This window comes from Homo sapiens, chromosome 16 (genome assembly GCF_000001405.40).
Source record: "Homo sapiens chromosome 16, GRCh38.p14 Primary Assembly".
Lineage (NCBI taxonomy): Eukaryota > Metazoa > Chordata > Mammalia > Primates > Hominidae > Homo > Homo sapiens.
Genome location: NC_000016.10, coordinates 70,853,427 through 70,881,086, shown reverse-complemented (window position 1 = coordinate 70,881,086; position 27,660 = coordinate 70,853,427). Strand labels below are relative to the sequence as shown.

The 27,660-nt window shown below is 43.6% G+C and overlaps 1 protein-coding gene across 1 annotated transcript in view, besides 1 other annotated feature; it reads left to right on the top strand.

Annotated features, from left to right (window-relative positions):
• The window catches only part of HYDIN (HYDIN axonemal central pair apparatus protein), a 428,639-nt gene that overhangs the window by 349,636 nt on the left and 51,343 nt on the right, over positions 1-27,660 (top strand). Inside the window, exons 61-73 of the mRNA NM_001270974.2 lie at positions 1,331-1,482; positions 1,601-1,790; positions 6,168-6,270; positions 6,495-6,782; positions 8,908-9,050; positions 12,299-12,517; positions 14,758-14,918; positions 17,905-18,002; positions 18,832-19,039; positions 20,186-20,398; positions 20,881-21,019; positions 23,217-23,382; positions 25,812-25,959. Coding sequence (NP_001257903.1) covers positions 1,331-1,482; positions 1,601-1,790; positions 6,168-6,270; positions 6,495-6,782; positions 8,908-9,050; positions 12,299-12,517; positions 14,758-14,918; positions 17,905-18,002; positions 18,832-19,039; positions 20,186-20,398; positions 20,881-21,019; positions 23,217-23,382; positions 25,812-25,959 — 2,228 coding nt within the window. The remainder of the gene's footprint in view (positions 1-1,330; positions 1,483-1,600; positions 1,791-6,167; positions 6,271-6,494; positions 6,783-8,907; positions 9,051-12,298; positions 12,518-14,757; positions 14,919-17,904; positions 18,003-18,831; positions 19,040-20,185; positions 20,399-20,880; positions 21,020-23,216; positions 23,383-25,811; positions 25,960-27,660) is intronic.
• Positions 16,067-16,361: an enhancer, noted in NCBI's record as "tiled region #4373; K562 Activating DNase matched - State 5:Enh". NCBI's record gives its function as "activates a minimal TATA promoter and a strong SV40 promoter by Sharpr-MPRA in K562 cells {active_cell/tissue: K562}" and the evidence as "EXISTENCE:reporter gene assay evidence [ECO:0000049][PMID:27701403]".

Genomic DNA, 27,660 nt, shown 5'->3' with positions numbered 1-27,660 from the left:
GCTTGGCTAGTTTTTGTATTTTTTGTAGAGACAGGGTTTCACCATGTTGACCAGGTTGGTCTCGAACTCCTGGGCTCAAGCGATCCTCCCGCCTCAGCCTCCCAAAGTGCTAGGATTACAAGAGTGAGCCACCACACCCAGCCACAAGTCTTATTTCTAAAGAGAGACTTTATAAGAGGATTTGCAGATATCACATGTTCTCCTCCACCCTAGTTTGCAGACTTGAAGGCTATCCTTTGGAAAAAGCAAAGAGAAACCTGAGTGCCCTCAGTTTAAGAACAAGAGGGAATAGTCAGTCTTGAATCCCACCTACTTCCCATGAGAATGAAAAATCCTTTTAAGGCCATGCCAGGGCTCCCTACAGTCCCAAAACACTGCCACAAGTTGGGAACAGATAAAGTGCTGTGGGAGGTTGTTCTAGCCAAGGCTCTTGGAGTTACAAGGAGCAGAAACCCTCTCAGATTAACCCAGACAAAGCAAGGCTTACTGCAGTGAATCAGACACCTCAGGCACAGGTCAGAACACATCACGTGGCCGGGACTCCTTGGGACTGGCACCATCACCTGAAGTCCGCCCTTTAGAAGACCAGCGGATGCTCTGTCCATCTCTCAAGAGCCACATGTCTCTCTCACAGGGTTTCCACTGCTCCATTCTCTCATCCAGCTTTCTCATCTTGCATGTGATTCAGCCAGCTCCCAGCTCAGCTCCACATTTTAACAACCAGCACCGGCCCGGCACGGCGGCTTACACCTGTAATCCCAGCACTATGGGAGGCCGAGGCAGGCAGATTACTTGAGCCCAGGAGTTTGAGACCAGCCTGGGAAACATGATGAAACCCCATATGTACAAAAAAAAAAAAAATTAGCTGGGCATAGTGGCACACTCCTGTAGTCCCAGCTACTCGGGAGGCTGAGGTGGGAGGATTGCCTGGGTCCAGGAGGTCGAGGCTGCAGTGAACCATGATCATGCCACTGCACTCCAACATGAGTGACAGAGCAAGATCCTGTCACAGAAAGAATTTAAAAACCAACCAACACCAATCTTTGGGCATCCCAATTTAGTTGACAGGGGTGGGGTAGCAGGGAGAATATCTGGATTCCTGGCTTAGTTCATCAATTTGAGTCAAAAATCATAGGTCTAGCCAAATCTAGCCAGGCATCATTCAGGGGTGGGTCCCAGGCTGTTCCCTCCAGAGCCCCTCACCCTGCAGGCAGTGGAGCATGTCCACCACAGCACTTAGATGAGAGGTGGGGGACTCCTGAAAATAAGGAGTAAGCCTGGTGAGAATACAAAGGCACTGACACACTCTGGTCTCTGCCCCCATCACCAGCCCTTTGCCCGCATCGTCGACATTTTTGAAGTGGAACCCAGCAAGATGTGCATTGCCAGTCATTCCCATGCCTTTGCCACGGTGTCCTTCACCCCGCAGATCATGCAGAACTACCAGTGCATCTTTGAGGCTACCTTGGATGGCTTGCCCAGGTACCAACTCCCAGCTCCCAGCTCCCTCTCCTGCAGCAGGACTGCAGGCCACACTCTGTAGGGAGTGTCATTCCCACCATGCCAGGCTGACAGGCTACAATCTTCCTGTCCCCTACAGCACCCTGGCCAAGAGCCGAGGCCTCGTGTTTGACATCGCTGGTGAGGGGAACCTCCCTCGAGTGACGGTTGTGCGGCCAGTTCTTCATAACCAATATGGAAACCCCTTGCTCCTCTTTAAGAGGCTTCTCCTTGGTCATTCAGAGAAGCTGCCTCTCATCCTCAAGAACAATGGTGTCCTCCCTGCCCAGGTAATACTCGAGGGTGAAGCATGAGGCTGAAAGGGAGAAGAATCCAGAAGTTACACTTCTGCCACTGGGGCCTCTGCCATGCCTAATGTATGAGGACTTCTCTGTTGATCCACATACATTAACCTATGTGTCAGGGACATGCAGAGGGGAATCTGGCATGACATTTGTCCTCAAGGAAAGTAAGAAACCAGATTCCACAATATATCATTAACTACTGTCCAAGGTAGTGTGCAGTGATGTGCACCAAGCTGAGTGGGTAGGATTATGGGTGTTCTTAATATCTTCTTTGTTTTTTTAATTGTTTTCTGTAATGAACATTGCATTTGCAATGAGGATAAGATGATAAAAGAAACTTCAGGAGGGGTGAAAAATACAGCATTCAAATGTATTTTGATTCAATGATTAAATTATGGTTTTATTTTACAAAATGTGATGTATTGTGCTCTACAAGGGACTGTAGGACTTTTGAAAAAGATCTATTCCCATCTAGACAATGAAGGGAAAATTCACTGTAAATGACGTTTGAACAGGGCTCATTGTAGGAGTTGGGTTTCAGCAATGCCTTCAGTGGGCATTTGGCAGTCCATGCAAACCAGAAATAGAGAGAAAGCTTCAAAGGTGCAGAAGCCAAAAAACAAAACAAAACAAAACGTGCACACTACTACAGGAGATAGTAAGCACCCAGCTTCATGAGAGCATAGGTATAGGTAGAAGAGCAAGGAAGATAAAAATGAAAGGATACAGTAATGGAGCAACTTGTGGAAGGCTTGGGATTCTCTAAATATTTTAAACCCTACAAGACATTGCCACTATTGTTCTTGCTGCTGTTGTTGTTATTGTTTATACATTTATGGCCCATTTAGGTTTACTCATTTATTAATCATTTTTATTGCTCTTTATTCCTGGGTCTCCAATTTTCCATCTGTATTTGTCAGTTCTCATGCTACCAATAAAGACATACCTGAGACTGGGTAATTTATAAAGAAAAAATAGGACTCACAGTTCCACATGGCTGGGGAGGCCTCACTATCACAGTGGAAGGCAAAGGAGGAGAAAGACATGTCTTACGTGGTGGCAGGCAAGAGAGCTTGTGCAGGGGAACTCCCATTTATAAAACCATCAGATCTTGTGAGACTTATTCACTATCAGGAGAACAGCCTGGGAAAGACCCGCCCCCATGATTCATTTACCTCCCACCAGGTCCCTCCCGCAACACGTGGGAGTTATGGGAGCTACAATTCAAGATGAGACTTGGATGGGGACACAGCCAAACCATATCACCATCTTGGACCCTTTTCCTACCAACTGAAGAATACTCTTCAGTATTTCCTTAATGGGGGTCTGCTGGTGGTGAAGTCTCTATTTCTCCTTCATTTTAAACATCGTTTTTACTGGCTATAGAGTTCTGGTTTGGCAGTTGTTTTCTTTCAGCAAATGGGAGATATTATTCCACTGTATTCCGGTTTCCGTTGTTAACTGCTGAGTTGTCAGCTATAAGCCTAAAATGTTTTAAGAGAGGGGTCCCCAACCCCCAGGCCACAGACTCATGAGCAAAAGCTCATCTGTATTTACAGCCACACCCCATCACTCACATTACCACCTGAGCTCCCTTCCTCTCAGATCAGCAGCGGCATTAGATTCTCATAGGAGTGCAAACCCTATTTTGAACTGCACGTGTGAGGGATCTAGGCTGCGTGCTCCTTATAAGAATCTAATGCCTGATTATCTGAAGTGGAACAGTTTCAACCCAAAACCATTCCCCATTGCCTGGTCCATGGAAAAATTGTATTCCATGAAACCAGTTCCTGGTGCCAAAAAGGTTGGGGACTGCTACTTTAAGGCATTCTTTTTTTCTGACTGCCTTTTACCTTTTCACTTTGTTTTCTACAGTTTTACTATGATATGTCCAGGTGTGGAGTTCTTTTAATTTATCCTTGTTAGAATTCACTAGACTTCTTGATTCTGTGGATTAAAATTAAGTCAATTTTGGAAAATTTCTAGACATGTCTTTAAATATTGTTTCTATTTCATTCTCTCTAATCTCTACTTCTGGGATGATAATTAAATATATAGAAGACCTTCTCACTATATCTTCTGTGTCTCTAGTCTCACTATATTTTCCACTCACTTTTCCTCTGGGCTTCATTCTACATAATTTCTTTTGACCTGTCTTCAGTTTATTAACTCTCCCTTTAACTGTATTGAATCTACTGTTAAAGTTTCCATTAAGTCCTTAAGTTATTATATTTTTCAGTCTTAGAATTTCTATTAGGCTGTTTTAAAAATCTGAATAATTCATGTTTACTGTTTCTAGTTTCTAGCTGAAATTGTCAGACATGACTTTTATTTCTTGAACACAGTAATCATAGGCATTTTACAGTCTATACCAGATAATTCCAAAATCCACAGTCATTGTGGCTCTTTCTGGTATTTCTACTCATCTTTTTCTACTATTTCTACTCATCTTTGCCCATGTTGCCCTGCCTCCTCATGTGCCTGGTTATCTTCTGTTCATGTGTTGGGTATTATATTGTAAAAGTTATTTAGAAATCATTAAACTAAGGATCATATTTTTCTTCAGAGGCAATTTTCATTTGCTTCTGCCCAACACTTGGGGGCACTAGAAATTCAGGATCACTTTAAGCCAGTGTTAGGGTTTGAGATTTTCTGGATTACCCAGATGACTCAGAGCAGGATTGCCACCCTTGGGAAAGCTGGTTTATATCCAGCTCACCTTTCATCTTTTGAGGTCCCAGCCCAGAAGAAAGCATTGTCACCTTCCACAGGCCTTGAACTTTTGCCCTCTTAGCACCAAAAGACCATAAAAAGTACAGACAACGCCTGTAATCCCAGCAACTTGAGAGGCTGAGGTGGGCAGATCAGGATTTTGAGACCAGCCTGGACAACCTGGTAAAATCCCATCTTTACTAAAAACATACAAAAATTAGCTGGGCATGGTGACTCGCGCCTGTAATCCTAGCTACTCTGGAGGCTGAGGCAGGAGAATCGCCAGAACCCGGGAGACAAAGGTTGCAGTGAGCCAAGATTTCACCACTGCGCTCCGGCCTGGGTGACAGAGTGAGATTCCGTATCAAAATTAAAAAAAAAAAAAATGTGCAGACAAGCCTCCTGTCTACCTTTTCCTGACTGGCAAATGCTCTGGGCGGACAAAAACTGCCCAGAAAGTGAGACTGACCTTGCTGGATTTCTATACTCTCACAGATCCTGGTCTATTTACTCCTCATTCTCTTCGTAGCTCTGTTATGCTTTAAAAAAAATTTTTTTATATATATTTAGTCTAGCAATTGTTGTTGCCTTGAGCTCAGGTTACCTAGTTTACCATTACCCTGCATCGTTTCCATTATTGTGGCTTTATAATATGTTTTAGCATCTAGTTCAGTGAATTCCTATCCACCCATTCCCTGTTTTTGCCATTTTTCTTAACAATTTTCACCTATTAATCTCTCAAATAAGCTTTATAATTATTTTATAACGTTCCTTTAAAAATCCCATCGGGAAGCCTCTGAATCTGGTAGGATTTCTGCTTGCGGAGTATTTAGACTCTCCACCAGGAACATTTAGGATTTCCACCCATTTATTTAGATCTTTTATGTCAATATTCTTACATATAATTCTTCCATATAGTTTCTTATTAAAGTTGTTTCTAAATACATAATTTTTTATCTCAGAAGCTTCCCGTGTGATATCACTATTTCTGCCTTCTCCATGCCTCATATTTTGTATTATTCAATCTTTTTCATGATGGTGCCAGCATTACTGTCTTCTAACAATGCCTGCTGATGTCTCATATCCGAAATCAGATGTATGGCTTTAGTCTTATCTTCCTTATAATGGGCCAGAAACCACCACTTTCTCCAAGTAGGTCAAATGCCCACCTTGTTTTTTCTCTTATCGTGGTAGGATGCTCAACATGACACTATCAGGCAACTAAACTAATGCATAGCACCTAGGAGATACTGGTTTTTAGGAATTGACATCAATGCAGGCCCTTATAGAATTACAAGTATTCATTTGCATTTTATTGGCCTAGCGTATATTTTATAACTGCCTCTGTTAATGACAGAGGTGTTGGCAACCACATTTTGACACTACCTACGTGATCTGGAAAGTTCTGCATACTCCTTGGACCTCCAGTTCCTCACTCAGATAACAAGGGCTGATCTGACTGAATGTTCTTCTGTCCTCTCCAGGTCTAATATTTATTATTTATCTCTCTTAAGAAATTCAAAAAAGTGAATACTAGGCATAATACCTTTTTGGGGTCCTGCCCCAAACACAGCACAGTATCTCACCCCAGACTCAAAGCCCATGAGCAGCCTGTAAGCCTAGCACTCATCCCTGCTTTCCTTCTGCCAGCTGCATGTTGACCTGCAGGATGAGCTAGGAGTCTTCTCCCTGAAAGGGAGGCCCACCACCGCGTATATCTACATCACAGAGGAAAATAAACCACATGTAAAAGGTAAGTGTGGGGAGGGTGCTTCTAGAGGGCAATGGATCTCAGTAGCTGCTTCATTAGGGGACCACTCAAGGCCCAGCCAGAGGGGAATGCCCAGTCTCGTCACCACTGGCCTCTAGCTAAGGCTCGTTCCCATTCTAGGGTTACTTTCCCTTCAACAGGGGTCTTTATAGATACACATTTCTTGAAACTAGTTCTAAATCATATCTTCTCTCTTCTCTTTGCAGCAAAGAAAGCTCACACAGCCTCCTTGGTTGTTTCTCCTGGAGATACAGCTGAATTTGATGTCGTTTTCCACTCCCAGAAGGTTGGGAGGATGAGAGGTATCATCCACTTGTCAGTGATCAACAACCAATATGAGGAGACCTCCATCCACATGGTGGGAGAGGGCTATGAGGATGACATCACCTTGGACAACATCCATGGACTGGTGGCCCCCACCAGCCAGGAAGACATAAGTATCTCTGAGTTCACAGAGATCATCGAGGACAATGATATGGAAGACTTGGTGGCAGGTGGGAGAAACAGCAGTGAAGTGTTGGCAAGTGTTGGCTACTGGGTCATTTGTTTTAAATGAGAGTAAATTTAAATAACAGGTTGGTTACCTCCCTGAGAATTTAGGACTGACTCTCCTCTTCATTACTCTATGCTCTGGCATGCCTGGCTCAGTCATGGCATCCATCCTTCCATTTATTCATGTGTTCACTCGATGAATATGTATTGATCACCAAGTACATGTTCCAGGCATGCTGATCCCTGGAGTTTCAAAATTAACAAGGAAGTCTCTACTCTTAAGGAGCTTATAGTTTGATATTCAAATTCTGGTTCAACTAATAAGCAAATAAATGCCTTGCAGTTTTTCCTGTCTGCATTTATTAGCTGGCTTGTGTTGGCATTGTCTGTTTATTAGAGAGAGTATAGGTTTGGGCACTTCTAGAACATCACTCTGCACAGCCCCACTACTCAATGAGCAGTTTGAGATCCTATGGCATCAGCATCACCTGGGAGCTTGTTAGAAATGGGGGTTTCAGACCCCCCTGCCCTACTGAATCAGAATCCACATTTTAACAAGGCCCCAGGTGACGTGTTTTTATACTAAAGCTTAAGACATGTTGTGCTGCAATCTATCAAGCACTAAAGCTTCATTTAGTTGACATTTTTGGGGATTGGAAAAATTTATCATCAAATTGTTATCATCAGAAGGCATTGGTTAAGCGCCCTAATTATGTGGTTGGTTGCTAAAAAGTGAGTTATAAACAGAGTCCCATAGTTTACCTAGAAGCTTAATTAAAGTCCTGGAATGTACCGTTAGGTGGTCTACACAACATGGGTTGAAATCAACACTCCTCATATACCTGGTGTTTCAGCCCTGTTTGAGGCTACAGGGTGACATCTCTCTTACCAAGGCTCAAGCAGGAGCCAGCAGTGAATCTAAGTTCAGAACTCAGATTTCATGCCCATAATAGGATTGCCAGAGTTAGCAAATCAGAATACAAGACTCCTCAATAAATTGGAATTTTGGTTAAACTATGAATAATTTTTAGTATATGTATATCCCAAACATGGCATGGGACATACTTATCCTAAAAATTATTCATTTCTTATCTGTAATTCAAATTTAACCAGGACTCCTATATTTTATCTGGCAATCCCAATCCTTTATAATATTTTCTCACCAAACAAATGGAGTTGGGGACCTATGTTTTCTCTTGTACAAATGGAGGTGAGGGCTAAGGTGGGTGAATGGATGATGGATGGATGGATGAAGGGATAGAGGGATGGATGGGTAGATGATAGATGAATGGGTGGATGGATACATGCATGCATGCATGGATGAGTAGATGATGGATGGATGGGTGGATGATGATGGGTAGATAGGTGAGTGGGTAGGTGGATGATGGGTGAGTGGGTAGGTAGATGATAGATGAATTAATGGATGGATGGGTGGATGATGGATGGATGGATGGGTGGGTGGATGATGGATGGATATATGGATGGATGGCTGCATGGATGGATGGATGATGGATGGGTGGATGATGGATGGATGAGTGGGTGAGCAGGTGGATGATGGATGGATGGGAGGGTGGATAATGGATGGATGGATGGATGGATGGGTGGGTAGGGAGATGATGGATGGGTGGATAGGTGGATGGTGGATGGGTGGATGATGGATGGATGCGAGGGTGGATGGATGATGGGTGGGTGGGTGGATGATGGCTGGATGGGTGGGTGGATGGATGATGATGGCAGGATGGGGGAGGGTGGATGGTGGATGGATGAATGGATGATGGATGGATGGATGGATAGGTGAGTGATGGATAGGTGGATGATGGATGGGTGGATAATGGATGGATGAGAGGGATGGATGGATAGATGATGGATGGGTAGATGATGGGTGGGTGGATGATGGATGGATGGATGGATGGATGGATGGATGGATGGATGGATAGATGGATGGATGGGTGGATAGATAGATTCCTTGAGGATAGAAATCTTGTTACTCAGAGATTCTAGGTTTCTCAAATATAGCCATCCAAGGATGGAAGGACTGCATGTGAGTGAAGCACTATGCCTCCTTAAGGCAGCAGGCCCTCAGGGGAGGCCAGGGAGGACTCACAGCCTTCTGCTTCTAATCCCTAGCTGCTCTGGTGGACCACATCCAATTTGGGGACTGCCACATTGGACACAGCTATAATGCGAGCTTCACAGTCACAAATCACAGCCAAGTGAACTTGATACGGTTTGAATGGCCTGTTTCAGCTACAATTGCTTTCTCCCCACAGGTAAATAAAAGTCATTCATCATTTTTTGGAATCCCTTAGTCCTAAGCCAACCCCAGACTGATTGTCAGCCCTTTCCCGTGGATGCATGGAATGGAATTAATGCATCTCAAGCTGAGAGACAGCCCAGGAATCATCCCTCACTCATACCTAGTAGCAAAGAACACTGTTCATGTCTCTCCTGGTTAAGAGGGGAAGACGGAGAATGAAGTTGACCAAAACTGTTGCTAGGCTGCTGTCAACGGGCCCTGTGGAGGCCTGTATAGATGAATACAGGTCCTAGTCTTCCTATCCCAGATTGTAGAGCTGTGTCCTCCTAGGTGTGTGTCCTTTAGAGTATCAGTCCTTCAAAATGCTTCACCAAAAGCTAGAATGGGGGTGATGGGTTCTGTGGACAAGTGAGATTTAGAAAATGTTCCAAGCTCCATCCTTCCTTAAATATTCCTGGTTCTCTTTGGCATGTTAAAACCTTGTTAACTTTGTTTTACCTGGAATTTTCTAACCTCTTCTTTTAGCATCTCCACAACACACATTTTTTTTTTGAATTGCTGACTAAAGCTTGACATTGAACAAGGCCTAGGATAACGTTCTAGAAGATCGTTGCCTCTGGCCAGTGGTTGCTTTTTGTAGATAGTTCATTTCTGAGTTCCCAGAGCACTGGCACACCCCAGTGTCTTCACTGCCTCCTGCTCTGTTGACACACAGCCAGTGAGTCTGCTCAAGCACAGTACTCGAGGGGGATGGAGCAAAGGCGTTGGGGACTTTGTCATCTTTAAATCTTTGAGCGCTATTAGGGATAAATTTTGCTTTTTGGAGTGATGTAAAGTTCATTAGGACCCTGACCATTCCGTTTCGTCATGGTCCAAATCCAACCCTGAATAGAGCTGGTATACCACTTTATTTGTAAATTGAGTGCTTACTATATGCCAAAAATAGTTCTAAGACCATGGTTAATCCTCTGAACAATGCTATAAGGCAGATACTACTTTTTTTTGTTTTTGTTTGTTTGTTGAGATAGTCTCACTCGGTCACCCAGGCTGGAGTGCAGTGTTACAATCTTGGCTCATTGCAACCTCCACTTCCCAAGATCAAGTGATTCTCCCACCTCAGCCCCCCAAGTAGCTGGGACAACAGATGCACACCACCACACCTGGCTAATTTTTTTGTATTTTTGGCAGAGACAGGTTTCACCGTGTTGTCCAGTCTGGTCTCAAACTCCTGAGCTCAAGCAATCCACCTGCCTCGGCCTCCCAAAATGCTGGGATTATAGGCATGAGCCACTGTGCCCAGCCATAGATACTACTATTATCTGCATTTTGCCTGTGAAGAAACAAACACAGTATAATATAATAGGGTAATCTGCTTTTGTGCATTATTTTTATTACCAAAGCCTTAATCAAAGGAGGCAGAGAGGCTGGGCACAGTGGAGGTTCCCAACCTCAATTCTTGACTTCTGTGCACCCACAGGCTCAACACCACATGGAAGCTGCCAAGTCTTGGGGCTTGCACCCTCTGCAGCCATGTCCTGAGCCACACCTTGGCCCCTTTTAGCCATGACCAGAGTGGCTGGGATGCAGAGCTCTACATCCTTAGGCTGCACACAGCAGGGGGGTCCCTGGGCCACCCACAAAACCATTTTTTCCTCCCAGGCCTCTGGGTCTGTGATGGGAGGGGCTGCCACAAAGGTCTCTGACATGCCCTAGAGACATTTTCCCCATTGTTTTGGCCATTAACATTTGGCTCCTCACTACTTTTGCAAACTTCTGAAGCCCTCTTGAATTTCTCCTCAGAAAATGGGTTTTTCTTTTCTATCATCAGGCTGAAAGTTTTCTGAACTTTTATGCTCTGTTTCCCTTTTAAAACTGAATGCTTTTAAGAGCACCCAAGTAACCTCTTGAACGTCTTGCTGCTTAGAAATTTTTTATGCCAGATAACCTAAATCATCTCCCTCAAGTTCAAAGTTCCACAAATCTCTAGGGCAAGGCCAAATGCCACCAGTCTCTTTGCTAAAACATAGCAAGAGTCACCTTTGCTCCAGTTCCCAACAAGTTTCTCATCTCCAGGAATCATCTCAGCCTGGATTTCATTGTCCATATCATCAGCATTTTGGTCAAAGCCATTCAACAAGTCTCTAAGAAGTTCCAAACTTTCCCACATTTTCCTGTCTTCTCCTGAGCCCTCCAAACAGTTCCAACCTCTGCCTGTTACCCAGTTCCAAAGTCACTTCCACATTTTCAGGTATCTTTACAGCAGTGCCCACTCACTATACCAGTACCAATTTACTATATTTGTTCATTTTCACGTTGCTGATAAAGACATACCCGAGACTGGGTAATTTATAAAGAGGCTAATGGACTCACAGTTCCACATAGCTGGGGATGCCTCACAATCATGGCAGAAGGCAAAAGGCACATTTTACATGGTAGCAGACAAGAGAGAAAAATGAGAGTCAAGCAAAAGGGGAAACCCCTTATAAAACCATCAGATTTTGTGAGACTTATTCACTACCACAAGAACAGTGTGGGGAAAACTGCCCCCATGATTCAATTATCTCCCACCAGGTCCCTCCCACAACATGTGGGGATTATAGGATCTACAATTCAAGATGAGATTTGGGTGGAGACACAGCCAGACCATATCACCATATATCACATAACCTCTAGAAAACTCCATTGTACACTTATGAGAAAATGAGAGTGAAAAAGTCAAATAACATCTTCATATTACTATGAAAATAGTCTTGACCTCATTTATCCCCTGAAAAGGTCTTGGGGATCCCAAGGTCACCAGAACACCTTTGGAGAACTGCTAGTGTACTGTATTCCTCTGTCCATAATTTGTATAGATCATATTGATTAAGAGTATGGCATTTGGAGCCAGATTGCCTGGGTCTGAATCCAACTCCTCAAAAATTAATGACCTCAACCAAGTTACAAGTTTCATTGTCTGTAAAATAAGAATAATAGCTGTACCCCTCATAGGGTTGTTGTAGGGATTCGTAGAATTGTGTAAAGGTTTAGAATAGTGCCTGAAGCAAGTACATTTGATAAATATTAGTTGTTCTTGTTATTATTATTATGTTTCTACCTAAGATCCTCATGTACATATTTAATTCTGTCTACATACACAGGCTTAACATGCATTTTTTGCCAAGACCTTTGGCTCCTTCCCTTCTCTAGAATATCACCAGCAGGTATCAAGAGTCCTCAAGATCGGATTCTCAAAAATACTAATACCAGGCTCTTTCCTAGATGGGCCACCTCCACCCTGGGTGTGCCAAGGACATAGTGGTGACCATGAAGTCAGATGTACCCATCAACCTAAAGAATATGCGGATCAGGTGCAAGCTCTCCAGGATTATGTTTCAGCTCCCTGCAGACCAGGTCCCCGACTGGGATGACCGCATGCACACAGTCAAGTGGGTGGACGTACCCAGAAACATGCCTGGGACTTTCACTACAAAACGAAAAGTAAGTGGGGACATCAAGCACCAATCTGACCAGGCCTCCATGCTTGGATTCCTACTGGTCTCAAGTCCCTCATCATTTCCTTTTTTCACAGTAAAAAGAAAAGGTTCCCATTCTACTTGACCTTGACTCCAAAAGTGACAAACTAAACTTCTACACATGCTGCCTGCCATCAATGCTACACATACCACACATCTTCACTGGTAGACCTTTAGCTTAAGTCTTGATAAGCAGTTGAGCAAGTCCTCCCACCTTTTCCTTCTTCAAAAATGTCAATGCTAATCTTTTAGTTGTTTCCCTTTTCCCTCAGGTGTCCAGAATCACATTTGTAATAATCTTTGGTTCATGACAGGATCTCATCTTTGGTCCATGTGTGCCCTTCTTTTATTCATTCCTTGGTTAGTTTTTTTAAAAACAATATAATACACAGAGACAAACCCACACCCAACACGGGAAGTAGAATATTGACTACCTGTGTAATTCTCAGCCATTCCACTCTCTGCCTTCATCCTAGAAGTAATCACTATCTTGACTTGACTTGTTTACTCCCTTGGTTTTTGTTTTTTGTTCTTTTTTTAACCTATGCACACTAAAAGGTATATCAGGCCAGGCACAGTGGCTCATGCCTGTAATCCCAAAACTTTGGGAGGCTGAGGCAGGCAGATTGCTTGAGCCCAGGAGTTTGAGACCAACCTGGGCAACATGGTGAAATCCCATCTCTACCAAAAATTAGCTGGGCGTGATGGTGCATGCCTATAGTCCCAGCTACTCAGGAGGCTGAGGTGAGAGGATCATCTGAGCTCTGGGAGGTCGAGGCTGCAGTGGGCCGTGATCGCACCACTGTACTCCAACCTGGAATACACAGTGTGAGACTCTTTCTCAAAAAATAAAAATAAAACATATATTATTAGTTGTAGTTTTAACTTTTAAAAAATGTTATTGTATGTGATCATCCATATTGTTGCGTGTGGCTGTAGTGTATCCATTTCACTTCTACATAAAATTCCATTATGATTTCTCCCTTCTCCTTTTGAAAATTATTTGGGGTTTTGCTATCACAGATGTATTATTCACATGGTGTTCATTTGTAAGAGTTTATATTCCTAGAAGTGGAATTGCTGACTCATTGGATATATGAATGTTCAACTTGCCAAGATAATCCCCCAGTATTTTCCAGAGTAGCTGTACCAATTTATACTCCTACAGCAGAGAGCTTATTGATCCATGTCCTCTCCGACACTTGGCATTGTCAGACTTCTTGATTTTTATCATTTGAATGAATGGGAAATGGTCTCATTACGAGCCTATTTTGCATTGTCCTGATCTCTGATCACAAATAAGGCTGAGTATTTCTTCATATGATTACTAGTCATACAAGTTATCCCTTGCAGGAATGCCTTTTCATGCCTTTTGCTCATTTTTCAATTATGATACTTATATTTTGTGTGAGTTGTTTTATTTTTTATAAACTCTTCTGTTCATATTATTTGTCTGCAAATATCCTTACCAAATTTATAGTTTATCTTTTTTTTTTTTTTTTTTTTGAGGGGGACAGAGTTTTGCTCTTTCGCCCAGGCCAGAATACAGTGACACAATCTCGGCTCACTGCAACCTCCACCTCCTAGGTTCAAGAGAGTCTCATGCCCCAGCCTCCCAAGTAGCTGGGATTACAAGCATGCACCACCACACCCGGCTAATTTTTGTACTTTTAGCAGAGACAGGGTTTCACCATGTTGGCCAGGCTGGTCTCAAACTCCTAGCCTCAAGTGATCCACCCACCTCGGTCTCCCAAAGTGCTGGGATTATGGGCCGTGAGCCACCATGCCTGGCCTAGTTTATCTTTTCTGTTATTAATTTTAATATCATCAAGTTTATTAATCCCTTCTTTTATATGTATTACTTTTTGTGTCTTATTTTTAACTCTTTCCTCCCGGAAAGATGTTCACTTATATATTTTTAAGACTTGTTTTTTTGATATTTCAGCTCTTGGCCCACCTGGATTTTATGTATGTTGTGAAGCAAGGATCCAATTTCATATTTTTCATCTAGATGACTAATCTTACTAGATCCCTTTTTCATTTAGCCTGTCTGTTCCCTAGTGATCCACCAGGACTTTATTGTCACATAGTGTACCTAAATTTTATATATGCCTAGAATGTTTCTGGTCTCTCTATTCTATTCCATTGTCAGTTTTTCTGTCCCTGTGCTCTGCATCTCTGAGGACACAGCTGCCTTTGTTACAGGTGATAGAGACGGATCCGGAACCTGCTCACTCAGTACTAGAAGAAAACTACCAAGAACTGCAGCTTCAAATCAGTGCCAATGTGGATTTCGCTTCATACCATTGCCAAGCAAGAGATGTGCGCTTTAAGGAAACCTTGGTTTACCAGACCCGAGTGTTTGAGTGAGTCATCAAAAGTCTCGTGATACTAGATGGAAAAGCTCTTTCATTCCATCATTCACTCACTCACTCATCAAACGTCTATTATCTACAGCAGCATCTACTAGGCATCGTATCTGTGTGGCATGCACCAGAGTGTTGTCTTAGGTCCAATGAAACATTCAGGCCCACAGAGCTATTGAAATTCACACTTGAAATCAAGATATAGGCCAGGAAATGTAGTACACCAGGAGGGCGGCATCAGGCAATCCACTTTAGTGGGAGCAGTCCTTGCAGCAATCTACACAGCCACCCAGGATCTGTTCTTTTTGCCCATGCACCAAGTGGTAACCCAGACAATATCCACACTGGTGGGTATAGGATCCATCTAAGCTTAGAAGCCCAGACCCAAAAGACCATCATTTCTCCTAACCACTCTGCAGATATATCTTCTGGGGTCCCTGCAGAGAATATGCCCAGTTACAAGAGTCACTACACTCAGAGAACCCCACAGCTATGGCTTCCCTCTAGGTGGTCATAGTTCCTCCCAGTGCACATATCATTTACTCATCGGGGCCATTTTTAGTATAAACAATGTCACCTAATAATACAACTGACATTCCTCCCTTATCAAGTCTCCAGGGGAACAGACCTAGAAAGCTATTTCAGAGTCAAATTCATCTTTGAGAAGGAGAAAAGGTTATGTTAACCCTTCACCCACATTCAGACACAGGGACTCAAGGATGCCATGGGCCCTGCCTTCAAAGAGCTCATAATCTGAGGGTGGCAGCCGGGGGACAGATAGAAACAGGAGAATTTTTCATTACAGCATAATGTCATGTGCATGAAGCAAAGGGGTATTTAAAGCAGATCAAGAGAGTCAAGGAAGGCTTCCTGGACAAGGTAGTTCCCCAGCTGAACTTTAGAGGACAGATAGGAGGTAACCAAGTAAAGAAGTGAGAACAAAGTGAGAGTGAAAGAAGTGAGAATGGGGGTAGCCAAGTGAAGAAGCGAGAATGAAGGGCTCTCTCTAGGCAGAGAGAGCAACATGTGCAACACATACAAGGACAAAAATGTAAGCCACTGACATTTCTACTGCATACAAATTAGTAATTAGCTCATTCAACTCATCGTGCATTTGTTGAATTCTAAACATCTTTGCAAATTACGATAGAACCAAAAGATAAATGTCAAGAAATGTGATCTTCTGCTGATGATCATTTCACCTAAAGCAGGGGTCAGCAAACTGTGGCCTGTAGCCTGTTTTTGTAGATAAAGTTTTGCCGGCATGCAGCTATGCCCATTCATTTATGACCTATCTGTGGCTGCGTTCCCACTACAAAGGCAGAGCTGAGTCATTGCAGAGACCGTATGGGACACAAAGACAAAAAACTTACTATCTGGCCCTTTACAAAAGTTTTCCAACCCCTAAACTGAGAACTCTTTTTATAAAAAGTACTCTGTGCCACTGAGATTTCTTCACTTTATAAAAATTATCTTTAGAATAAATACAAGTGCTCATAAATTTACAAAATAAACACAAGCCACTGTGGTCAAAGCACTTGATTTCAGGTGAAACTAGATGGTCTGTCTACCTGGACTAGAGAGTGGAAATCTAATCTCTACGTCCCACTGTAGACCTACTCCTCACCCAAACTCCTAACTCTTACTATTCCCCTAAAACCAGGAAGGGCGTGTGGATTTATTTCATCATCATTTTCTTTTTCTTGTACCAAGGTTTCATCTTTCTGCTGTTAACTGTGATCAAGTTTAATAGTGATTCCAGAAAAAAACTCTGCCTCCCTGTTTTTTTTTTTTTTTTTTTTTTTTTTTTTTTTTTTTTTTTTTTTTTTTTTTTTTTTGAGCCGGAGTCTTGCTCTGTCACCCAGGCTGGAGTGCAATGGTGCGATCTCAGCTCACTGCAACCTCCACCTTCTGGGTTCAAGTGATTCTCCTGCCTTAGCCTCCCGAGTAGCTGGGACTATAGGTGCACGCCACCACGCCAAGCTAATTTTTGTATTTTTAGAAGAGACAGGGTTTCACTATGTTGGCCAAGCTGGTCTCGAACTCCTGACCTCAGGTGATCCACCTGCCCTGGCCTCTCAAAGTGCTGGGATTTCAGGCATGAGCCACCGCACCCAGCCCTGTTCTTGTCTTAAAGCAGGAAAATTTGAGGCAGGAAAAGCCTCTGCTGATTTAGAATTTGAGTTTGAAGTAACTAAAATTCAAATCTGTGCCTCAGTCAGGAAAGGGGTCACAGGCAGGGGTCAAATGGCTTCTGAACACAGGGACTTCCTTCCTTTCTTTTCTTTTCTTTTCTTTCGACAGAGTCTCGCTCTGTGGCCCAGTGGCATGATCTCAGCTCACTGCAACCTCCATCTCCTGGGTTCAAACGATTCTCGTGCCTCAGCCTCCTGAGTAGCTGAGTAGTTGGGACTGCAGGCATGTGCCACCACACCTGGCTAATTTTTATATTTTTAGTAGAGATGGGGTTTCACCATGTTGGCCAGGCTGGTCTCAAATTCTTGGCCTCAAGTGAGCTGCCTGCCTTGGCCTCCCAAAGTGCTGGGATTACAGGTGTGAGCCACCCTGCCCAGCCAGGGACATTGTTTCTGATGGGAGGTGATTCAGAAAGGGAGGGCCTGTAGAATTTGTTCCTGAGGGAGGTGCTGTCTTGTGAAATAGATTTTGTTTCCTCTCTCATGGTGGGGGTTTAGGATTACTGCCATGCATGCTGAGAGCTCGCTGCACAGGGTGTTGGAAGAATGCAAAAGACTTTTAAGTGATAAATATTTTTTATATTTTTACTTTTAATCACTATATATTTTCTTGTTCGAGTATATCATATGCATGATTTCTAATAAAATTACTTAAAATGTGCCTTTTTAAAAATATTTAAGAAACAAAGTGACATGACTTCAAAAGGTTAAGTACAGTATAGATGACATGCAGCCAGGACCAAAACCACCTGCAGCACATTTCTCAAATCTGCTCCCTGATCGATTTGCAGGTTCGATGTGATTAATTCAGGACGTGTCCAGCTGGAATTCAGCTGGGTCTCAGAAGATACCTCAAAGGCAGTCAGCTTTGCAAAACCAGATCACCAAGGTAAATTCAGTGGCAAGTAAAACCCAGGGCCTGGCCTGAGTCACCAATTAGAAGAGCCTTGTTCATGGAGAGGCCAGCACTGCTCAGAGGGTCTCCTAAGTAGCTAAAGAAAAGCAAAGCAGAGACCTTGTGGTGTCTGCAGAGCCAAATGGGCCTGAGGGACTCCAAAACTTACCTCCACCCTCCTGGAGTCTGAACTCTGTCCCTGCACTAGGCCAATGCCCCATCTCAAGATAACTAGGAATCTTGTCTCTTAGGTCTTAACCTTGTGGGAGATTATAGATCCCTTGGAGAAACTTTTGAAAGTTATGAATCATTTTCCCAGGAAGATACACACCCATGCCCAAGTTCTCAGTTGGTACATATGAAGCACTAGAAAAGGAACCAACACTTGGTAGGCAAGTTGCTATCATTATTATTATTATTATTGTTGTTACTTCAACTTTGGAGATGCACAGACCTTTTGAATGGGCCCTTATCCATGGGTCCCCAGATTGTAAACCCCTACTTTAGAACAATGATTCTCAAAAAAATATGTTCACAGCCCATTATTCTAGGGCACAAACATCTTCTTGACCCACCCGCTTGAACCAAAAGGAAACAAATTTGAAAACCCTATGGAATAAATAGAAACATTTTTCATGAGTCTCCTGTAAGCTATATGAGCAATTCCCTACCTCTAATACCCAAGGTTAAGTACAGCTGCTACAAAAGGTGAGTCCATATCCACCATATCCGCAGAGGGCCCCTAAGGACCTGTAAGTGGGCTCCCTTCCACCTGCCTCTCACTGCAAATGCAGAATATCACCCACTCCCTGTCTGTCCCCAGGTTCAGCTCAAAAAGATCAGCTTAGTCAGGGCACGATGCATACAGGCAGCACCCTGGACAGCACCATGGACCACTGGGCCGAGGGTTCCCCACAGCCCTTCTCTGTGGAGCCCTCTTCGGGAATCGTGCCGGTGGGGAAGATTCAGAAGTTCAAAGTAAAATTCTCCCCGTTGGACATTGGAGACTTCGAGAGCAACCTTTTCTGCCAGTAAGAAAATGTGCTCGCCACAACACCCTTCTTGGCAGGCACAAAGCTCTGTGGCTCTTATCCCCTTTTCTGTCCAACCACTGCCACCATCCTTTCTGGCCCTAGATCCCTGCACATCCCCAAATTATCCCTTTTCCCTTTGGAAGGATCTAAAGGGTCCACCCTTTAGAGAACAAGGAGAATATGGTCTTTGTCCTGCTCATCAACCTCTCCAGATGCTTCCCCCTGCTTACTTTCCCCTTCCCAGCTGCATGTAGGATTCCACTGAGCAACAGACTGGTGATAGCCAGGTGGGTTTCAGTCCTTGTGCAAGCATGAACTTAGGAAAGCTTTCTTGTACCTTCTCTGAGACACAGTTTCCTCATACATAAAATGTAAATATAATACCCAGCTGGTGGAATTGTTGGGAAAGTTAAATGAGTTAATTCAAATAAAGTGCTTACAACAGTGCCTGGCACACAATAAGCACGATAAACATTAGGTGGTAGTGGTGGTGGTGGTGGTGGAGTTGGTGGACCTGGTACACAGCAGTGAGAGAAAAGCTAACCCAATGACATCTGACAATGAAAGTCCCTGATGAGGTACTTGCTCCCAGGAAAACTTGAAGGAGTACAATCACCTTACAGAAAAATCCTGTGAGCTGTGGCCTAGGGTGGCAGAGACCTAAGTGAGCTGCTGGGGCCTCCTTGACCTCCTGCAGTCATACCACTGAGACCCCTCCCACACCTAGGCCACCTCAGCTTGGTCCTGGAGCTGAGCATCTGCTCATATCCAGTTCACCTTTTCCGAGGAGCTCAGGATACTTTTTTAGGATTTCCAGGTCACTTTCCATATCCCACTAAATGCCTATGAGAGAGACCAGAGGGTAAGACTGTGCTCATTTTGCAGCAGGAATATTTTCTCAACATTGATGGGGGAAGTAACCTGCGGCCATACTTAGGTACACAGAAGGAGCCAAATTCAGGCTGCTTATGCTCAGCCCAGTCATGCATTCAAGGCACTGAGTGATGCTATTGACCAAGACAGACCCAGCCTCTGCTCCCATAGAGCTCACATTCTGGTGGATATAAGATTCATTTCCAACCAACTAAGAAAGCAACAACTGATGACAAAATAAAACAAATAAAAATAACCTTATCCTCTCAGGATTCCCAACCTGCCACCTGGAGAGCAAGGTCCGGTCCTGGTAGCAAAAGGGCGGAGCACCTTGCCCATCTGCCATTTTGATCTGAAAGACTCGGACTACATAAGTGGCCATCAGCGCAACCCAGAGCTCCGAGGGTCCAGTGGGGGAGCTCTGGATCCAAACACCCGGGTGATTGAGTTCACCACTGTGGGCATAGGAGGGAAGAATCTCCGGTGAGTTGCTTAGGTTTACATTGATTGAATTCACATCGGTCCTAAAGAACTCTAAAAGAATTCAGATAGATGAGCTAGACCTATTCCTATAAGCAGGCTCGATATCCTGGGGTTTGACCTGAGTTTTAGAGGTTTGACTTTAGAGAACTGTTACGTTAAGAAAGCTGAATTCTGTCTCCTTAGTTTTGCCACTGAGGAAAATATGGAAGACACAAAAGTATAATCCCTGACCACCTCCTTAACCACAGAGGATCATTGGCACAGTTGTGCCCTTGGCAGCATTGTTATTCCAAAGTCCAGAACCCTACCCTGACTGTGGATCGCTAGAGGAGATGGAGTTTTTATTTCCACAGTAACAAAGTGCTCTGAACAGTTCTGCTTCCCAGATGGGGGACTGGGTTGGGGCCAGGTTCTAAGAAATTTCTCTTAATCCTCAATCCCCTGTCCCACTCTCTTCTGTCAATTCTCTCCACCCTGGCCAGGACCTTTACCATCCTAAACCCAACCAATAGCACCTACTCCTTCTGCTGGATCTCTGAAGAAATTGAAAGTCTCCAGAACCCTGCAGCATTCACATGCCTTACAGAAAAGGGCTTCATCCACCCTGAAAAGAAAGCCGAGGTATGTGCAGATGAGAACCACTCAACCCAAGGCTTAGATCACTCTAGCCATTGCTGTGTGGAAAGTGTGCCATAGACAGTAAGTGGAATTAGGAAGAACTGCCTGAGGGTGTAGTGCATCAATCAACAAGTATTTAGTGAATGGCTGCCATATGCATTGGGCAATGCTGATGACAAGACAGACCTGAGCTCTCTTGGCTAGCCATGGAGAAGCAGAGAGCTCTAATATTTGCAATTTTTTAAAACTGAGAACATTTAAGCAGCAAAAGGTAACTGGACACCAATGCCTGGGGACCCTAGGACTCATAGAGTAGCATAAAAAGTTATCTTTGTCAAAAGGACCAAAAATGGTGAAAGGACACGATGTGTTTTTACTTGGTTAGGCAAAGGGCAAAGTAGAGTGGAGCCATGTCCCATGGCTTCATCCTAAATGTTTACACAAATGATATGGAGCAGAATTAAAGAAATACAGACTTGCTGGCCAAAACGGATCTGTGAGCCCCATGTCCAGCCAGTTGCAGAGAATCTTGAAGACAGAAATAAATCCGTGAAACAAAAATTAAGAATTCCTGTGCCCTCAGGAGGGTCACACAAGTGAATAGAGTGGGCCAAGGAGACATTTGTGGGTAATACAGGGTACCAGGGCCACTGGCCACAGGGCTTCTCTGGTAGATGACCGCTTTGCAGACAACGGGGGCCAAGGGGGCCAACTCACCCAAACTGTGGAAAAGACAAAATTCCAAATTTCTTTTTTTTGTTTTTGTTTTTGAGACAGAGTCTTGCTCTGTCCCCCAGGCTGGAGTGCAGTGGCGCGATCTCGGCTCACTACATGCTCCGCCTCCTGGGTTCACGCTATTCTCCTGACTCAGCCTTCCGAGTAGCTCGGACTACAAGCGCCCGCCACCACGCCCAGCTAATTTTTTGTATTTTTAGTAGAGACAGTGTTTCACCGTGTTAGCCAGGATGGTCTCAATCTCCTGACCTCGTGATCTGCCCGTCTCGGCCTCCCAAAGTGCTGGGATTACAGGTGTGAGCCACTGCGCCTGACCAAAATTCCAAAGTTCTATGTGAAGCCCTATTTTACATGCTGGTAGCTAGTTCATTTTTTTTTTTTTTTAACAATTCCCAAACCAAACAAAACATATTTGTAGACTCTCCACCTGGTTTTGACCTCTGCATAATGTCAGTACCCAGGCCATCTAGTTAAATGTGACAAGGTCCAGGAGCTGGGTCCACCATAGAGACAATCCTACCTGGATCATGGCCCCCACTTCAGCCCAGAAATGTTTCAAATGTGAGCTCGGTTCCAAGAGGCAAGTTCCAAAATCCATCATCCAAAGTCATGCTGGTCTTTAAGTGACAGTCATATCATTGAGGTGACACACCTCCAGAGCACCTGCCCACATTGTCCTGGCAGTGGTATAGACCATGCATGTTAACCTGTGTGGTTCTTTTTTGGCCAAATGCCGTTATTCTTTCATTCAGTCCTGGTTGATTGATTGCAAAGAGACTCACTCAGGTTAGCTCAAAAAAGAGACAGAGAGAACCAGGAGCAGCTTTTGAGGTTGGACTTTCCTCCTGGGACTGCCTGTTTCTCTCTTCCCATCTACTCCATTCTCTCTCCACTGACCAGTTTCTTCACTCTTGATTGATTGATTTATTCTTCAGTTACTTTGTAATATCACTTAGCTAGTTGGTTATGGCATGCCGTGGCCCAGCTCACCTGCATGGTACCTTTCACCATCAGCTCCACTGCCAGCTGGCCTGGCCACTCATTTCCTAATTTCAAACTTCTGAGGGAGAAATCTGGCTGGCCCGGCTAATCATATTGTCTTTGGCTGTGTGCCCAGCTATTGACAAGTATGGGGATTGTCTTTCCTTGGAATGGGTACCAACTCTTTGGTCCAGTCAGCTATGGCACAGCCATGCCATCCAAAGACATGGCACAAAACACGACAGCTTAGCCAGCAGAAGCTGTGGATGGGGGAGACTCCCTTAGGAGGACATGTGGGCAGGTCAGATAGACATTGACATTTCTGGTACAGCCACACCTACATGCCCTTACATGGACTATAGAAAGGTAGCAATAGCCTGGTAACATCAACTCTCATGACCCTCGTGCTGACAAGTCTCCAGGGACATGTGGAGTAAGCATACAGAAGTGTCTTTTACCACTCTGTTCCAAATTGTCTTGTTAGATCGTGTTCCAGTTCACACCTTTCCATCTGGGCATCACTGAGTCATCATGGACCTTCCTAATTCCCGAGCACAACATCACAGTCCCTTTCCTGCTGGTAGGCAAAACTACCGAACCTCTCATCTCTCTGAACAAGTCACACCTCAACTTCAGCTCTCTCCTCATTGGTAAGGCTGTCCTGATGGTATGTATTTAGAGTTGGCATGATCTGGGCAAGGTCATCAAGAGCTCTGGGAGCAGCCTTGCATAAGAAACCTCTCCTGGTCCCTTCCAGAAGCATATCAGAGGGTCTCAATCAGTTTTTAAAAAGCCACAAAATATTTACTGCTCAATCTAATTTCCACCAAGTATCTTTTAAACCTACAATTAATAGCTTAAGGAAATTTAGGAGCCTTGTTAAAGATCCTACTTGGCAGATTCCTTTAAGGCATGGGCTGACTGTTTATTTCTAGAGCCTCAAGTTGGCCCATCCTTCCTGCATTTGCCCCCAGATTATGGGGGGTATCTGTATGCTTCTTGGTCTGTGCCACAGTGGTCAAATTTCTCTCTCATCCTTTCGTGCATTTATTTGGTTCAACAAATATCACTGAGTCTGTAGAATGCCCTCGGTACTTTTCTATGGGCTGGGATTACGCTAATGGATAAAGCCCAAAGTCCGTACCTTCCTGATGCTTACATTCTAGAAATAAGAAACAGGCTACCAAAAGAAACATAAGGAAACTATACACCATGTCAGATGGTAATAAGTGCTTTAGAGAAGAGGACAGCAGGGTAGGGAGAATAAGGAAGGCCAGGAGGCAGTGGGAAGGTGAAACGAAGTAATTGTCATGTCCCTTATAACCCCATGTATCTTTCCCATGGTTGTGACATCTCTGCTGTGTGTATAAAATACAACTAAAGCCAGAGTATGTTTTAATAATATGTTAGATTTGTATTTGTAAAATAATATTCTTTATAGTAAATCCACCAATGTGGTGTTGCATAAGAAAAAGTTTAATCTCTCCACATTCATCCTGTCTCATCTTTCTCTTTCCACTCCAAAGGAAAGCAGTGTTAACTGCTGGATGTGTATTTTACCGATACACATAATTAGGTGGGAGGGGGAATTATGGCATTTATTAAGATTTTGAACAAATAAGCAATGTAGCATAAGAATAACAACAGTGAGACAGAGTTTAATCCAGGAATTCAACAGTGGTACGTTTCAATATAATCATTACATCAATAGATTAAAGAAGAACAACCATGTGATCATGTTAATATACACTGAAAAGGCATTGCCAAAATTTAGCAGACATTCCCAACAAAAACTCTAATAGCAAAATGGACATTGATGGAAAAAAAGGTTAACCAAAATCAAGAGGCAGATATGATCCTGCAATAAATGACTAAAACTGCTTCAATTAAAATGAGGAATTAGGTAAGGGTGTTCATTATCACCCTTATTATTGAACACTTGCTTAGAGACTTTAGCAAATATGACAAAACAAGAAAATTAAATAATTTGCATAAACATTGGGGAAAAAGGGATAAAGTCATCTTGTTTTGCTTTTACTGATGATTTTGTACACATAAAACCACAAGAGACTCTAGAGAAAAAGCAAAACAAACTACTAGACTCAACAGAATAATGTGGTAAGGTGGGCAGATGCAAGACAAATGTGCAAAAATAGTGTCTTCTTTTTTAGCACTAGCACCTAGAAACAGAAAACCAAAGAAAACATCCACTTGGTACTGGCAAAACCTATAAAATAGCTAAGGATAAATGTAATAAGACATGCACAAAAAAGACCTACATGAAGAAAACTATCAAATCTGATTAAAATCCCCCAAACAAGATCTGATCATTTGTTAGTTGTCCTAAAATTAAATGCAAATTTAATCAAGTTCCAATTAGAATCCCAACTAGGGTTGCCAGATAAAATACAGGATGCATAAATTTTAATTTCAAATAGCAATTAATAATTTTGAGTATGTCCAAATATTGCTCGGGACATATTTATACCAAAAAATTATTTGCTAAATCTGTCAACCAAATCCCAAAAGAATTGGAAGGGGAGAGAATTGGATAAAATGATTCTAAAGTTTATGTGGGAAAATGAATGGTCTAATAGCCAAGAGGAAAGCGTAAGATGATAGTGAGAGAAAATGTATTAGTCAGAGCCCTGGGCAGGAAACTCATGCCAATACCAAAGGTCTATTTTCAAAGAATTCGATGCAAGAATTATTTACAGATACATGGGCAGTTAAGGGGGTCAACCAAGGAGAGTGAAGCCCCCATTAACAAATTCAGGAAGGCATTACAATTCTTGGGTCTAAAGGAGCAAGGGAAGAAAACGGTGTCACCAGAATCCCAGGAGAGCTGTGGCCAGGGCAGAGGAGCCACTCAGCAGAAGCAGGCAACTGATGAAGAAAGACATGGAATCCCCGAAAGAAGGAAGGTGACTTGTAGAGGAAAAGGAAAGAAGAGAGGTAGACAAAGGCGGAAGAGGTTGGGGAATGTCTTCTAAATGTCTTGCCTGTGAAGCGGTGTCTGCTGAGAGACTCCAGCAGGCAGTCAGGAGGCCCCCACTAAGGGCTGGTGTTTCCTCCTCAGGCAGAGAAGCCAGGGAGACTGTGCAGATCATTAACAAGGAGGAGCAGGGGTTCGATTTTTCCTTCCAGGACAACTCCCGCTATTCTGAAGGTTTCAGCAACAGCCTGCTTGTATGTCCCATGGAAGGCTGGATCCCACCACTGTCCAGGTAAACAAAAATGAAGGTCTCATTTTGTTTGCATCCTCCTGACATGCCCAGGACCCCAAGCCTGCCAGTGCTTACAGTGCCCCATTTATATAATTGCTTTCAACTCTAAGATTACATCATAACAATTCCATCTCCATCCTACTTACTCCCTGATATCTGTTTTCCTGATGAATATGGAGCATTGAGAATTCTAAGCCCTTTATCTCAATATTTTCTCTTTGTATTCTTTTCCTTGCTATATTCACTGTATATGTGAATCCACAGTGCAATGTTCAGGCTTGCCTGGCAAGTCTCTTTTTCAATTAAACATTTAATTTTCAGGCCAGGCATGGTGGCTCATGCCTATAATCCCAGCACTTTGGGAGGCTGAGGCAGGCGAATCACTTGAGGTCAGGAGTTTGAGACCAGCCTGGCCAACATGGCAAAACCCAATCTCTATTAAAAGTACAATAATTAAGGCTGCGGCAGGCAGATCATTTGAGGTCAGGAGTTCCAGACCAGCCTGGCCAACATGGTGAAACCCCGTCTCTACTAAAAATACCAAAATTAGCCAGGCGTGTTGGCGGGCGCCTGTAATCCCAGCTACTCGAGAGACTGAGGCAGCAGAATCGCTTGAACCCGGGAGGCATAGGTTGCAATGAGCTGAGATCGCACCACTGCACTCTGGCCAGGGTGACAAGAGCGAAACTCCCTCTCAAAAAAAAAATTAATAAATAAATACAATAATTAGCCGGGTGTGGTGGCACACACCTGTAATCCCAGCTACTTGGGAGGCTGAGGCATGAGAATCACTTGAACCCAGGAGGCAGAGGTTGCAGTGAGCTGAGATTGCACCACTGCACTCCAGCTTGGACAATGGAGTGAGACTCTCTCAAAAACTAATAATAAAATTTAAAAATTTGAAGTAATTGTAAATTCACATGTAGTTGTAAGAAATAATAGGAAGACTGCTGGGCGTGGTGGCTTACACCTGTAATCCCAGCACTTTGGGAGGTCAAGGCGGGTGGATCACCTGAGGTCAGGAGTTCGAGACTAGCCTGGCCAACATGGTGAAACCCCGTCTCTACTAAAACTACAAACGTTAGCCAGGCGTGGTGGCACATTCCTGTAATCCCAGCTACTTGGGAGGCTGAGGCAGGAGAATCGCTTGAACCCAGGAGGCAGAGGTTGCAGTGAGCCAAGATTACCTCACTGAACTCCAGAGCAAGACTTTGTCTCAAAAAAAAAAAAAAAAAGAAAGAAAGAAGAAGAAATAAGACAAAGATAACTCTGTACTGTTTACCAAATTTCTCCCAAGGGTGACATCTTGCAAAGCTTCAGTAAAATGTCACAACCTGGTATTGACATTGACGAGTCAAGACACAGAACAGATCCCTTGCCGCAGGATTCCTCATGTGACCCTTTTGTTGCCACACCCTTTCCCTTCCCCCAAGCAACACCTCCTCACCCTCTGGAATCCAATACTTTCCTCTGTGTCTATCATTTTGTCATTTCAGGAATGTTGTATTCACAGACACATACATTGCTTTTGTGATTGGTTTTTTTCACTCATAATTCTCCAACATACATCCAGGTAGTTTTGAGAGTTTCTTCCTTTTTATGACTGGCTACCATTCCATAGTAGGGATGCACCACAGTTAGTTGAACTATTCACCCACTGGAGGACATCTGGATTGTTCCTGGTTTGGGCTGTTATGAATA